Source organism: Homo sapiens, chromosome X, assembly GCF_000001405.40.
Source record: "Homo sapiens chromosome X, GRCh38.p14 Primary Assembly".
Taxonomy (NCBI): Eukaryota; Metazoa; Chordata; class Mammalia; order Primates; family Hominidae; genus Homo; species Homo sapiens.
Genome location: NC_000023.11, coordinates 4,871,932 through 4,887,329, shown reverse-complemented (window position 1 = coordinate 4,887,329; position 15,398 = coordinate 4,871,932).

The following is a 15,398-nucleotide window of genomic DNA, read 5'->3' as shown; positions in this document are numbered from 1 at the left end:
ATCTTGTAGATTCTTTAGATTCTAATCTTTAGATATCTTGTAGAGGCTTTACAGAATTAAGTCATTTGTCCAAAGTCACGTAGCTAGTAAGTGGCTGAGCCTGGTTTCAAGCCCAGATCTGTCCTTCTCCAAAGCCCCCACAGTGGATTACTGAGAATGAAGGCATGCATTTGAGCCAGAGATAAAAATCACAAATTATAACATCTCTTCTACTACGTAAAATCCAGCTAAGATGATCCTATGAAAGGATAATTTTCACAGGGATATTTGTATTTTTTTATAGTCTCTAAAATCTGTTCCATGAGCCCACTATCAGTCATCTCTTTCAGCTGAAAGGTTAATAGGTGAGCACTTGTTTCTTATTTATTAAAGCATGGTGCAGCTGTGTGACCCAAAGACATGACCCAGAATTAAGTTAACACATCTGCTTCATGTTTCTTCTCAAACAACCAAAATCACAGTGCTACATTCCAGCTAGGGAACTACTGCCAACATTTATTCTAAGTGAGATTACATATTAATTACTTAAAATATAAATTAATAATACTAATTTTTATAATTTAAAATATAAAAACATTTGTAAATGTATTCTCAAGTTGAAAAAAGCATGCATTTCATTTGTCAATTTTATCTGATGTTTTCTTTCTTATTTTTTACTTTTGCTTTTGTATTGTATACAATAGTTGTACATATTGTGGTGGTACATAAAATGTTGTTTTGATACCTATATGCAAGGTGTAATGATCAAATCAGGGAAATTGGGATATCCATTACCTTAAGCATTTCTTTTTTCTTTGTATTGGAAGCATTATAATTTCCCCCATAGTTATTTTGAAACTTACAATAAATTATTGTTAACTATAATTTCCCTACTGTACTGTCAATTATAAGAAGTTATTTCTTCTAACTGTATTTTCATATCTCTTACGCAACTTCTCTTCACAGCTTCTGGTAACCACCATACTACTACCTACCTTCATCATCTTCATGAGATCCACTTTTTTAACTCTCATATATAAATGAAAACATATGGTGTTTGTCGTTCTGTGCCTGGCTGATTTCTAAGAGATCACGCTATTAGACTAAAATTACATCAATAGCAAGTTTATTTTAAGAAAGATGTCAAAAAGAAAAACAAGATTCAGTTATATTAAGGTCAAATTTTAAAAATGAGTATATTTTTATACAAATTTAAGTTAATGATATATGAGATATTTAAATATTTAAATTACACAATTTTATACAAAGCCTCTAGTATAATACATTTAAATAAATTTGATTTATTAATCTTTCACCAACAACATACAGACAGAAACACACACACACACACACACACACAACACATCCCTGGCTTGACCAACGTTATTATGGGAATGTAGAGTTCTGAGCAAGAGAGGATCTTCAATCACACATGCTCCTTAACTTAAAATGGGGTTATGTCCCAATAAATCCATTGTAGTTTGAAAATATCATAATTCAAAAATGCATTTAATACAACCAATCTATCATAGCTTAGCTTAGCCTACCTTAAATGTGCTCAGAACACTTACTTTGGGCTACAGTTATGTGAAATCATCTAATGCAAAGAATTTTTTGCAAGAAGATGTTGACTATCTTACATAATTTATTGGATATGGAACACTGCAGAGACAGTGTTGGTTGTTCACCCTCCGATCGCATGGCACACTGAGAGCTGCAGATCACCACTGCTGCACAGTGTCACAAGAGAGCATTGCATTGCGTATCATTAGCCCAGAAAAAAGAGCAAAATTCAAAATTGGCAGTAGGTTTTCTAGTAAATGCATATCACTTTTGCACCACCGTAAAGTCATCATAAGTCAAACCATCATTAAGTCAGGGACCATTTATAATATAAAGCAATTCTGCAGACAAAATATGAATGGTTTTTATTACAGAAGCAAAGATACTTTGAACCTAGTGAATTCCATTTGTGATTAAGGCAATATTTATTCAAATTTTTGATTATGCAGAAAAGTATAATTATTAAAAATCAGAAATAAGACAAAGAAATAGACTTCTGTTTTCCTTATTCAGTACATAAAAAATGCCCATATGGTCTTCTTTGTTAGAATTTCATAATGCAAATATTTTTACTAAAATTCAAGAGAGAATAGCCTTGTTAACAAAACATAGTATTAGAATAAAGGCAACTCCTGTTTTCTTGAATTTGCATTTAGTTCACTGTAAGCTAAGAGTTCTTAATGGAAAACTCATTTTTATCATTTCCATATAGACGTGTAAGTTTCTCATTTAGTTTCTTTTGAGAACATTGATTTTTATGTTCTCACTGTGTTTTTCAGACATTACAGACCCGGTCTGGTCATTCTTGAGAATTTGCTTGAAAGAAATGATGATCACTTGTCTCTTCTGCCACCACCTTTTAAAGGTGGTGGAGAATTTGAGATGAATTTTAGAATAATAATTATTAATAACCTAGCACTCGTATCGTTATCAAAATTTGACTGACTTACATGAAATCTGCTAGTCTGTAATACAGGAACCTTAAGACAAAAAATGCCCAGTGTTTTGCACCTTTGGGTCACACATCTCATAAAGTCTCTGAAATTAGTATTAGAAAGCCATGGTTTCTTATTAAATTACAAAAGTCTAGCAGGAATCACATTTTACATGGAAAACAAATTTGCAGACCAAATAAAATGGAAAATTTCTTTAGACTATGAATTACATCATTTCACTGTTATAACAATCATTATTTCATGCCGATCAGAAACTGATAAGCAATTTTCTTTTATAGATGTAAAATAGGAAAATGTTGTTTCAATATAAAATATTTGTAAAAATCTTTTAAAACATTAAGTTTATAGAGGGAAATATCATGAGGCTCTGTTCCATTTTATTGTGGAAATATGATCTAATCCATCTGTCTTTATTAAAAAAATAAGTTACAAATTATTCATTTTATCATTATGTAATGTCCACTTTCATCCATGGTAATTTTATTCTGAAAGTATTTTGTCTAATATTAATTCAGCCACCACATAGATGTAAAACATCCTGTGGAAGGAGGATAGGAGAGATCAATAGGCTATTCCCTGCAGGGTACCCACTTTCTGGAATTCCAACTCAATAAAGAGGTTTATAGAGAGGTTTTTTCTTGGTTCTTTGTCTGTCCATGTCTGCAGCAGAGTTTTAAAGGTCAAGTTTGCCACAGGTCTGAGTCAGGAGAGACGGGAGGGAAAAAAAGAGAGGGACTATCATGAGCAATGCAAGGTCAGAGATAACCCAGTCCATGCATGTTTGTGTCTTTCTATAAGGTCACATGTATTGATGCTATTTCAATGCAAAAGCCACAAGCCACATGGAGTTTCCAAGGAGGGAATTCTCCTTAGTATTTCTTGTTCACTCAGTGGTCAGAGCTGCAGGCACAGAGGCTCAAGTCACTCCACAAGTCAGTCAATACTGTAAAACCATACATATTATCATACTTAACCAATACATAAAATATTATAGATTAAGCACTCCACAACAAACAATGTAACATTCAACATCAAGAGTAAAGAGATAGGAAAAATAGTTAAGCAAACCAGTCCAGGGAGAATAATATAGACAAAAAGAAGATCCTGGTATGGCCTGCTCAGTCCATCTGTCTTGCAAGGAAGAAATTTTAATATGGCCAGAGCCTTTGCTAGCAGACGTCAGGTGCTTATTACAAGTGACAGCAAGATGGTGCCTGTTAAGACAACCATTTCAAGTACTTCAGTGCTGAAGTACTGCTGTTTTTATGGCCACAGAGTCCTCTGGTGAAGACTGATAGTGGAAGAGTGTGCTTGGTTATGTCCTTATCTGGTTGGGTGCAGTCTTTATTGATTAGGCAAGACATCTGGTCCCCGTTGGCAAGGCAACTTTTGAAATGTAAGATTGAGCCTTTCTCTAAGATGGAGTCACTTATGTCAAGGGCACTCTATGCAGAGCCCACTGCTCTTTGGTCATTCTTTGAGTTCTGATTTTCCTCTCTAATCTGCTGGTTACTCTACTTCTTGGAATCTACTTGTAATTGTCTTGTATGTTCTGTTCAAGCTTTGAGTTGTAATCAGAGGCAGACTTAGTGTGGAACATGCTTTCTTCATCTGAACCAGGCCTGCTTTGCCAATTTATTCTGCTCTACGTGCACTTTTTTCCTGACCCAAAGAGCTTTGAAGGAATTTATCCATCAAATATTTATCTCCTGAAATGGAAAATGGGTTTGGACCCCTGCATTAGCCTGGAATTCAATTTTGAGGAGGTTGTCTGAACTCTCAATGACCCACAGCTGAACTTCAAATGGAAATTCCCCAAAACGACATCGAAGTCATCTCATATTTGTATTGTTCGCATTTAAGGCTGGGTGTAAAAACATCATTCATGAATAAATCATCTCCAACCAAAGCCAAAGGCCAATTTATTTATTTATTTTTAATTATTTAAGGTCACCAACAAATCTCTTTCTTGGACTCCATTTCTTTTGCCATTGAGTGTCTATTTTGAGCTTCAGATGCTAGTTAAGTCTGTAAAACATCCTAGATTAAATGATAAAGATCACATTATCCAAGCTCTGTTCAAATGTGCCCCTTGCCTTTTAATATCTCCAAATAATAATGAGAAATTTTAGAAGTGAAATGTGCCCTTCATCTCTGAAAGCAAGAAGGAAGGCTGGGTTTGATCACCAGATCTGCAAAGGAACTGGGTGTTGTCAGCGTGAGAGCAGGTCAGCCTCAGAGAGGGTGAAGACCGTCATGTGAGGCAGTGCTAATGGTTTTAATCAAGGAAAAGTTAAACGACGAGTTAATGGGTGCAGCTCACCAACATGGCACATGTATACATATGTAACTAACCTGCACGTTGTGCACATGTACCCTAAAACTTAAAGTATAATACAAAAAAAAAAAAAAACGAGCTGCCTCCAACTCTTGTCTCCACCTTGAAGATGAGCATCAAAGAGGCAACAAATCACAAGTCTGCCTTTCAGCAAATTCCATATGCATTTATATTTAAATATCTTAATCTGACCCTTTTTCTTTAAATGCATACCATAGATTTCTAACAAAGATGACTTTTTGGAAGATTTCTTTATAGCTATTATTAGAAAGACGCAATGAAGACGGGGGATTGTGATTGACAATTCCTCCTAGACCTTTCGGAGGTGAGACATCTGTGCCACTTGCCTGAAAATGTTGGCTGATTTTTCATCAAAACATGTGCAGCTACGGTAGGTATTGGAAACCCTGCCAGGCAACACCTGCAGACCACAACAGACTCACCCTCATGTACTTTAATAAGATGTCTTCTGTTATGAAACCAGAATTCCATTTTGCAAGCCTGGCCTCTTCCGAAGTAGAAAATTGGTCTCAGAAGTGCCTCTCTCTTTTCTCCCACCTGGAGTTGTTTTCAGGGGTTGTTAATATTTAAGAGCCTATTACTAATTTCAGTGATTCCTGCACAAACCTGTTCTGGACTCAGTGTTGCCAAATTGCCCCTCTAAGATACGTGCTGCAAATGCGTCCACAGTTCTCTTCGAAGATATTGGTCAAGGACATTATCTGTTCTCCCAGAAGTCCTCCATCCTGACTCAGGTTACGGCAGACAACTAAAACACACTGAGAAGAGTCAAGATCAAACTGTGCTGGTCTTATCCAAAGCCTTGGATGGTCCCAGAACTCTGAAAGGATGCCAGTGGTTCAGCAGCTCCTGGTTTCTTCATATGTCATTTATCTTTCAATTTGTTCAGTACACAGACTAGAAGCAGCAACAGCGTGAATGCTGGAGGAGCCACAGTTGGCTCAGACAGCAGTTGGGTCAGACAGCAGGAGAGAAGGGAGCCTGGAGAACGCCAGCTGGACTCAATCCTTTACCAACCCAAATATTTATCTTTGCAGAAGTAGCAGATTCCTTCTTGGTGTCCAGTTCCTAGGCATCCATATATCTTTGTGCACACTTCTGCTCTTTTCTTAGGTAACACCATGGGTTATTTAAAGCAGTTGACAACCTGTCTCTGCAACATTTGAATCAGTCTGGTTTATAAATGCTTTAAACTCTACTGCTCACTAAATTGTTAGTGAGGGCCGAATGTGGTGGTGCACGCCTGTAATCCCAGCACTTTGGGAGGCCAAGGCAGGAGGATCACTTGAGGTCAGGAGTTTGAGACCAGCCTGGGCAACATGGTGAAGCGTCGACTCTACTAAAAAAATACAAAAATTAGCCAGGCGTGCTGGTGTGGGCCTGTAGTCCCAGCTACTTGGGGGCTGAGGTGGGAGGATGGCTTGAGCCTGGAAGGTAGAGGTTGCAGTGAGCAGAGATCGCGCCACTGCACTCCAGCCTAGGCAACAGAGTGAGACCCTGTCTTGAAAAAAAATAATAATAAAATCGTGGTGGCTTTTTAAAGACATGTATGCAATGCAACTAAGAAATAAGTTAATTAGGACTGAGTTTAATAAAGTGTTGACAGTTGACCATATATGCATTACAATATAAAAAATACTTTTCTGGAATATCTGGAGTTTTCTTCTAGAGATATATTTATTTAGCTAATTGCAGCTGCTACTAAATTTTAAAAAGAGGAGTATAGTTAGATTTTTTAAACCAGCCATTTAAAAAAATGTCTGCTATGCATTAGAGATAAAGTAAACATTTGACATTATCCTGCTACATAAAACCTGAAATAAAATCTAAAGCAAAAGTTATTACTCAAATCCCCCATTTTATACACAACGCATACATACTTAGGAAGCGTAGCCATGCTCATTTTTCTTTTCAGATCCTGAACAGTGGATCTGAAATTTACACTGAAGACTTACTGATGCTAGACCCACTTTGTTCATTATACTTCTAAAGTATTTTCTTAATTAGAGGTGCAAAAAGTGAAGGCTGTTAAGGCTTCCCTTCGCTTAGTTAAAATAAGACCAAATAGAAATGAAAACTGTAAAAGCTAAGTCAGAGTGGCTCCCAGATTCCCCCAACTTTCAGTAGAGTTCTTTTCTACTTGCTATTTTATGGGGAGTACATTTTTTATCAAGTTTGGGACAAGGACAGAATCTACTTTTTTCTACACTTGTTTTCCAACACTACGATAATGCTTGACTTGTTATATTAGCCCATTACTTTCAACACTTTTGGAATAAAACAGGACACACATAAATAAGCAAAACTGTATGCCAGGTATTGGTTGTTGAACTTTGAACCCTTAGGTAGCCAGGAACAAGAATGGGGTGCACACTGTGGATTGCCTTGCGTATATGCATTTGCTATCAATTCCATGCAGAATATCAATTTCTTAAAGCATTTATTTCTTTCCAGATCTAAGATTTGAGAAAAAATGATAAAACCTACAAAATCTAATTGGATTAAATGAAATTACTTACTTTCCGTGGCTGAGGAAGAAAATCTCCCTCAACCACCCTTCCTAAGCATATAAACTCATGTTGGATGTGACCAGCATTATAATCTTGATAAAAAAAGAATTGACTTAGTTCTGCATTCTCTTCATGAACTCAGAATACTAAAAGTAATTTCAACAGACTTTGGTCAATTTTAGATGATACATGTGAAGTATTTTCACAAAGAGCATGCTAATTTAATGGAAATCTGATTTGGAAATGCATGCTCTAGAGCCCTAAAATATTATGTTGGAACTCACTTTGTGAGTTATTAAAATATATCTCACTTTGTGCGATATATCAAAATTATTTTTAGGTGATTTTTCCCCTTAAATCTTCTGTTTTTTAGATTAATCATAAGATTTATGTTGGAATTTAATTATGGCTGCTAAGAACTTAACCATTAATAGTGTCAAAGGAACTTCTAGACACTTTTTCCTCTTAATAAACACTGACAACCCTATGGAATGTAATGATGTTCGAAAAGTATTTCCTGCCACATTAATAAATCCACCAACCACTGTGCCACCTGGACTATACTCTAGAAACCTTCTCTCACAATTTTTTTTAATGGCCTAAACCTGGAAAATGTCACAAATTTTTCCCTTCTAGGGCTGAACATATGTCATATTTCTTTCCTCCTGGGTCTCTTGACAGTTCAATAATTCTAAAGTTTCAGAATTTACAACAGCATCCGATGGGTGAATTTTATTTTCTAGTGTTGAGGACATTTTTTTTCTTCATCACCAATTTAGTGTTTGATCTGAGTCAGAAAATTTGACTTGTACATAATAGGGATTCAAATACTTTTTCTATACAGCAGATTTATGCCAGCGAACTCCAGAGTTAAGTTTGGTTTTAATTTTCATATATCCAAACCTCTAATTAGTGAATCTCAACCCTGCCTGTACATAAGAATCCCTTGAGGGAATTTTACAAAATACAGACATCTCAGGTCCATTCTTAGAGATTCTGAGTTAATCAGTCTGGCCTGGGGATTTCTTGAGAGAGGCTTTACAGGCAAGTATTTTAAACTCCTCCTTTCTACTTAATAATAAGCAAAGTTGTCAAAGAGCCAATGTTCTACTTTACCTGCTGAATCAGCAAAAATTATTCAAACATTCCCCACTTAACACATCCAGTTGGAGCAGGTGGGAGGACGTGAAATGTGTTACTTTAAAATGCAGTCATTGAAATATATCTCTAAGGGTTTAGGACATTTTTCCTTCTGTAATGCAAATATCATCCTGAATCTTCGTCCTTCGTATAGAAATATCTTGCTTTGCATTTGTTATCACTTTAAGGTTTACAGTGACTTTATGTTGTTGACAAAGTTGTGATTTCCATTCTGCATGTTGGGAAACTGACGCTGAAAGACATAAAGTAACTTCTCAAAGGTTACAGTATAAATGTTTGTATTTGTGAGTGTTCTCTAGAGAAACAGAACCAATAAGATACAGATATATACCTATACATATAGATATAACTAAAAAAACTCTATATTTATCTATCTATTAACATATATATTATAAGGGGCCAAGAGCAGTGGCTCGCACCTGTAATCCCAGCACTTTGGGAGGCTGAGGCGGGCAGATCACCTGAGGTCAGGAGTTCGAGACCAGTCTGGCCAACATGGTGAAACTCTGTCTCTACTAAAAATACAAAACTTAGCCAGGTGTGGTGGTGCATGCCTGTGGTCCCAGCTACTTGGGGGGCTAAGGTGGAGGATCGCCTGAGCCCAGGAGGCAGAGGTTACAGTGAGCCAAGATCATACAACTGCACTTCAGCCTGGGTGACAAAGCAAGACTCTCTCTCTCAAAAATATTTATGATAAAGAATTGGCTCATTTGATTATGGAGGCTGAGAAGTGCCATAACCACCTGTCTCCAGGATAAAGACCCAGGAAAGCCAGTGGTGTAGTCCAAAGACCAAAGAAACAGAGGACGATGGTGCAGATTCCAGTCTCCTCTGAAGATCTGAGAACCAGGAGCACAGAGGACAGAAGATAAATGTTCCAGCTCAAATAGTCAGGCAGAGTTAATTCAAACTTCTTCCACTTTGTGTTCTATTCAGTCCTTTAAGGAATTAAATGAGGCACACTGACACTGGGGAGGGAAAAATATTTTTTGAGTTGACTAATTTAAATGTGGATTCCTTGTGGAAACACCCTCACCCTCACAGGCACACCCAGAGATAATATTTAACCAGCTATCTGGGCACCCGTAGTCCAGTCAAGTTGATGCATAAAATTAACCATTGCAATGCTGAACTCTCTATAGAATACCATTATAACTAACATCTCAAAATGAAATGGTTAAGTACCAGGAGACATCAACACTACAAAAAGTCAAATAAGTTTGCTTAGAAGGGTGTTCAGATGGCACCAATTACTTTATGCATAACATATGTTTCTGATTGAAATTTTTTAGGCCAGAGGTAACTGTATCACATATACTGGAACACATATACTGTATCCTTATTATAAGTTGAGATTGGCTGGTAATTCTTCTGAAAGTGCCAGAAAGTCAGAAACAGACAATACAACAGAAAAACAACGTAAGAAAGCAAAATTGAAAAAACTGAAGAGTTCCCCCTTTATAGACTATGTGTGAATGGTATTCTAATAGTATTTACAATAACATCAATGACTAGTCTTACCACTATTAAAACAGCAGTGATGTTATTAATTGAGGATCTAGAATATGCCAGATCATCTCAGATGTATAAATTACTAGAGATCGCCCATCTCATCCAGCCTGGAATACTATTGCCTTTGAGATGTAAAATTACACTAATTAAATTTGTCTCAAATACCCACTATGTCCTGCAATGTCTCAGGGATTCTCTAGTCAGAAAAAGTGACATGTATTTGGAATTTTGGGTTGTTTTCTACCTCTTTTACTACCTCATTTATAAATATTATCTAATTCTTTGTGTCTCGTCTTGATTAAACCATTTTATCACTTGCCAAAATTGTTTCTTTTCAACAAGTCATGTGTCTTTCCTTGCCATAAATATGGTTGACCCAAGACTTTTTGGGGGATATTGGGAAGGGCTTGGCTTTATATAACATATCCACACAACAAGGGTATTAATATTGATTACATCTATGAGTGGAAAGTTATACTCTGCATTTTAGCTATTTTCCTTTTCCATTGCACTGCAGACCAAGTCCATGGTACTATCTAAATATATCATCAAATTATTATTTTTTTCTTTGAAAGGAGCTGTCCTCTCCTCCCTGTTGTAGCATCAGTTGAAGCATTAGGCAGTATTCGTCCTCTCCTTTCTGCTCATGTAAGTAATCTAATTTATTTTTCGTAAATACCATTTGAAAATCTTATTCTTCCCTTTTTACAGATAGGAAATGGGAATCTGTTAAATAATAGAATGACACGCCCAAGGTCATGCAAGCAATTGTACCAGTGGGAAACAAATCCACAACACCCTGACTCCACCCTCTTCCTCTTTCCACTGAATTTGTTCAATGATTGAGAAAAGGAAGAGGACACTTTGTACTGTTCCTGGTTGTTTAACATCCTGTGTAGTCTTGGGTTTTGATCAGAGATTTTGATCCAAATGTGTTTGTCTCTAAAGGCTCTGTTGTTCCTACTAAGTTACACCCTCCTTCTGTTAAAAAAACAAATAGAATGTGTCAATATGGCATACACACACATATATATACACACACATATATATTTGTGTATGTACATAAAAAATATATATATATAAAATATATATATATGAGACAGAAAAAAGAGGAGAAAGAGGAGAGAGAGAGAGGGTAGAGAGAGGAGAGAGTCGGAGATAGAGGAGGGGGGAGGGAGAGAAGGGGTTGATCAAGAGAAGAGAGGGGACAGCGGAGAGATAGAAAAGAAATGGTGACGGCAGTGTTAACATAAGATGAACGTATTAGTCAGGGTTTTCCAGAGGGCCAGAACTAATCAGACAGATGTATATATGAAGGGGAGTTTATTAAGAAGTACTGATTCACATGATCACAAGCTGAAGTCTCATAATAGGCCGTCTGCAAGCTGAGAAGCAAGGAAGCCAGTCTGAGTCCCAAAACCTCAAAAGTAGGGAATTTGACAGTGCAGCCTTCTGTCTATTGCCGAAGGCCCAAGAGCCCCTGGCAAACCACTGGTGTAAGTCCGAGAGTCTGACAGCTGAAGAACTTGAAGTCTGATGTTCACGGGCAGGAAGCATCCAGCAAGGGAGAAAGATGGAGGCTGGAAGACTCAGCCAGTCTAATCCTTCCATATTCTTCTGTCTGTTTTTATCCTAGCCAGGCTAGCAGCTGATTAGATGGGGCCCACCCAGCTTGAGTGTGGGTCTGCCTTTCCCAGTCCACTGACTCAAATGTTAATCTCCTTTGGCAACACCCTCACAGACACACCCAGGAAGAATGCTTTGCCTCCTTCAATCCAATCAAGTTGATAGTCAATATTAACCATCACAATGAGCATGCCAGAAGGAGGGAACTCACATCCACATTTCTATTTTGATCAGGAAGTTTGGAGTGTGTCTTGTCTTAGTCTTCTTGCCAATGAGTTTTTTTCATTTCTCATCTCCATGCTGGTGGTGGCTCCTCAGCTGATATCACTGGCAGATCTGTCTCCCAAGCCCATGATTATAAAATTCAATTCCTGTCCTAACCCATCAGGACAATCTTGTGGTATATCACAAGAGACGTTAACCTCATATGTCTAAAGCTGAGTTTATCATCCACATGGTCCATCATTTGTTCTACAGCCAGCCAGTGTTCCCTGTTTTAATTAATACCCTCACCTCTTAAGATCTACTGTCTTAGTAAAATCAAGTACATAATGCAGTATTATTAACTGTAGTCGCCATGCTGTACATTGGATCTGAATGTAATCATCTCGTGTAACTAAAAGTTTGTACCCTTGACAAACATCACCCATTTCCTCTTCCCCCAGCCCACGGTAATGACCATTCTATTCTTCTAAAGCAATAGCTTTCACTTATTAAAATTCCACATACAAGTGAAATCATGTGGTATTTCTCTTTCTGGATGTTGCTTATTTTGCTTAGCATAATGCCCTCCACCTCCATTCATACAGTCACAAATGGCAGAATTTCCTTCTTTTTAAAAATAATATTCTGTTACACACACACACACATATACAGTTGTCCATTAGTAACCACAGGTGATTGGTTGCAGGACTTCCTCCCACCACAACCCACCACGGATACCAAAATCTGCAGAAGCTCAGGTCCCTGATATAAATAAAATACTGTAGTATTTGTATGTAACCTACGCACATCCTCCTGTATATTTTATACCAATTCTGGATTATTTATACTACTTAATATAATGTAAATTCGACAGAAATACTTGTTCTACTATATTTTTTAATTTGTATTATTTTAATTGTTGTATTTTTATTTTTAATTTTTTTTAAAAATATTTTCCATCTGCAGTTGGTTAGGATGCAAAACCCCGAGATGTGTGATGCCAATGTGTTTTTATAGACCACGTTTTCTTTATCCATTCATCCATTTAGAGGCATTTAGTTTGTTTCCATATTTTGGCTAGTGTGAATAATGCTATAATACATATGAGAGTGCAGGCATCTCTTTGACATACCAATTTCATATTCTTTGGATATAGAGCCAGAAGTAAGATTGCTGGATCACATGGTAGTGTAGATCTTAAGTGTTCAAACACACACACACACACACGCACAGATATACAGTGGTAACTATTTGGGATGATGCATATGTTAATTAGTGTGATTGTGGAAACCATTATACAAGGTATCCTTATATCAAAACATCATGTTGTCCATCCTAAATACATGCACGTTCAATTTGTCAATTCTCTCTCAAGAAAGCTGAATAAATAAGTAAGCAAATAAACAATTTTATCGCCAACCACCACTTCAGCTACACAATTGGTTGTAATCAGAGACGATCTTCTTCTCTCCCTAATCTCTTCTCAGTGCCTTTTAGTGATACCTCCTCCAGCACATTATAGTCTATCCATATTTTTTCCTTCATCATTTTCATAACTCTTTTTTCTTCAGAGTTTTCCTAAGTAGACGTCTCACTGATTTCTTTGTCTCTTTGCTCATCTTCAATTTATTTGACACTCCGCAGCCAGAATGAATGTTCTAAGGCCAAAACCCCCTCATGTCATTCTCTGATTGAAACTCTTCCATGTTACCTCCAAATCTTTGAGATAAAATTCAAAGATTTTAGCTCAGTGTCAAAGAGAGCTGATAGCTTATCTAATATTTGTGATGGCAGAGGGGGATTGCGTAGAAATAGAGATAATATGCAGGATAGGAAAGGGCTTCTGGGGCAGGAGGCTGGGGTCCAGGCAGTGCCATGAAAGTAGAAAAGCTTCATGCCTGTAATACTAGCACTTTGGAGGCCAAGGCTGGTGGATCACCTGAGATCAGGAGTTTGAGACCAGCCTGGCCAACATGGAGAATCCCTGTCTCTGCTAAAAAATACAAAATTAGCCAGACATGGTGGTGCATGCCTGTAATCCCAGCTCGGGAGGCTGAGGCAAGAGAATCGCTTGAACCTGGGGGGTGGAGGTTGCAGTGAGCCTAGATCATGCCATTGCACTCCAGCCTGGGCAACAGGAGCGAAACTCTGTACCAAAAAAAATAAAAAATAAAAAAGTGAAAAGCTGGTGATGACCACAGATGAGATTTTCTTTCCTGTTCTCCCCGAAAAGCTATAGCAGTGTGGCTTTTGACCTGAATAGGTGGATGGGTTTGGGTAAACCAATTCACAGCTAAGTACTGACCATACACGACTAAAATATACACAAGGAAATTCGAACCACTGGGGACATTCAACAGCAGTGAACTATTTGACTGGGACAAAGCGGGGCTGAACCATCACTCCATCCACCTATAGCAAACCTGAGCGTGGTGAAGAATATCCAAAAGATGTGGAATTGAAAATTAGGGGAGAGAGGATGTCAGCTTCACTCATCAATGCCTGACTCAACACTGCTATATAAAATTGTTCAGTTCATTACACTCCATTCAAGGGAGATTTTGAGGCATGCAAAAAGTGCCCGGCCTAGATTAGAGTATTAGATATTCCCAGATAGGCAGCATTGAAAAAAATGTGGCTTTCAGTACTCTTAAGTTAAAGAGCATGGGAGAGTTCTGACAAGGATATTCACGAGAGGTTTCGTATGTAGCTGAAGCTCGTGGTGGAACAAAGAGACGTACTTATCAACATAAAAATATGACAAAAATTAAATTTTAAATATAGAGCAAAATCCTTGTCCTGATTGTTTTAATGGAGATAAATATTTTATGCAGGGCTAAAAATACACATACCAAAAACGATGTTTATCTTTACATCTAGTCATAAATGCACTATTAATAATTAGATAGAAGTCTTTATCATAACATTATTGTTTTTTAAAGACAACACAATGGGCCGAGCACAGTGGCTCATGCCAGTAATCCCAGCACTTTAGGAGGCCGAAGCAGGTGGATCACTTGAGATCAGGAGTTCAAGACCAGCCTAGCCAACATGGTGAAGCTCGTCTCTACTAAAAATGCAAAAATTAGCCAGGAATGGTGGCACACACCTGTAATCCCAGCTACTTGGGAGGATGAGGTGGGAGGATCTCTTGAACCTGGGAGGTGGAGGTTGCAGTGAGCCAATATCACATCACTGCACTCCTGCCTGGGCGACAGAGTGAGACTCCTTCTAAAAAAAAAAAAAAAAAAAATGGTGGCTGGACATGGTGGCTCACACCTGTAATCCCAGCAGTTTGGGAGGCTGAGATGGGCGGATCACCTGAGGTCAGGAGTTCAAGACCAGCCTGGTCAACGTGGCAAAACCCTGTCTCTACTAAAAATGCAAAAATTAGCCAGGCGTGGTGGCAGACGCCTGTAATCCCAGCTACTCGGGAGACTGAGGCAGGAGAATCGCTTGAAGCAGGGAGGCAGAGGTTGCAGTGAGCCGATATCGCACCATTGCACTCCAGCCTGGGCGACAGAGCAA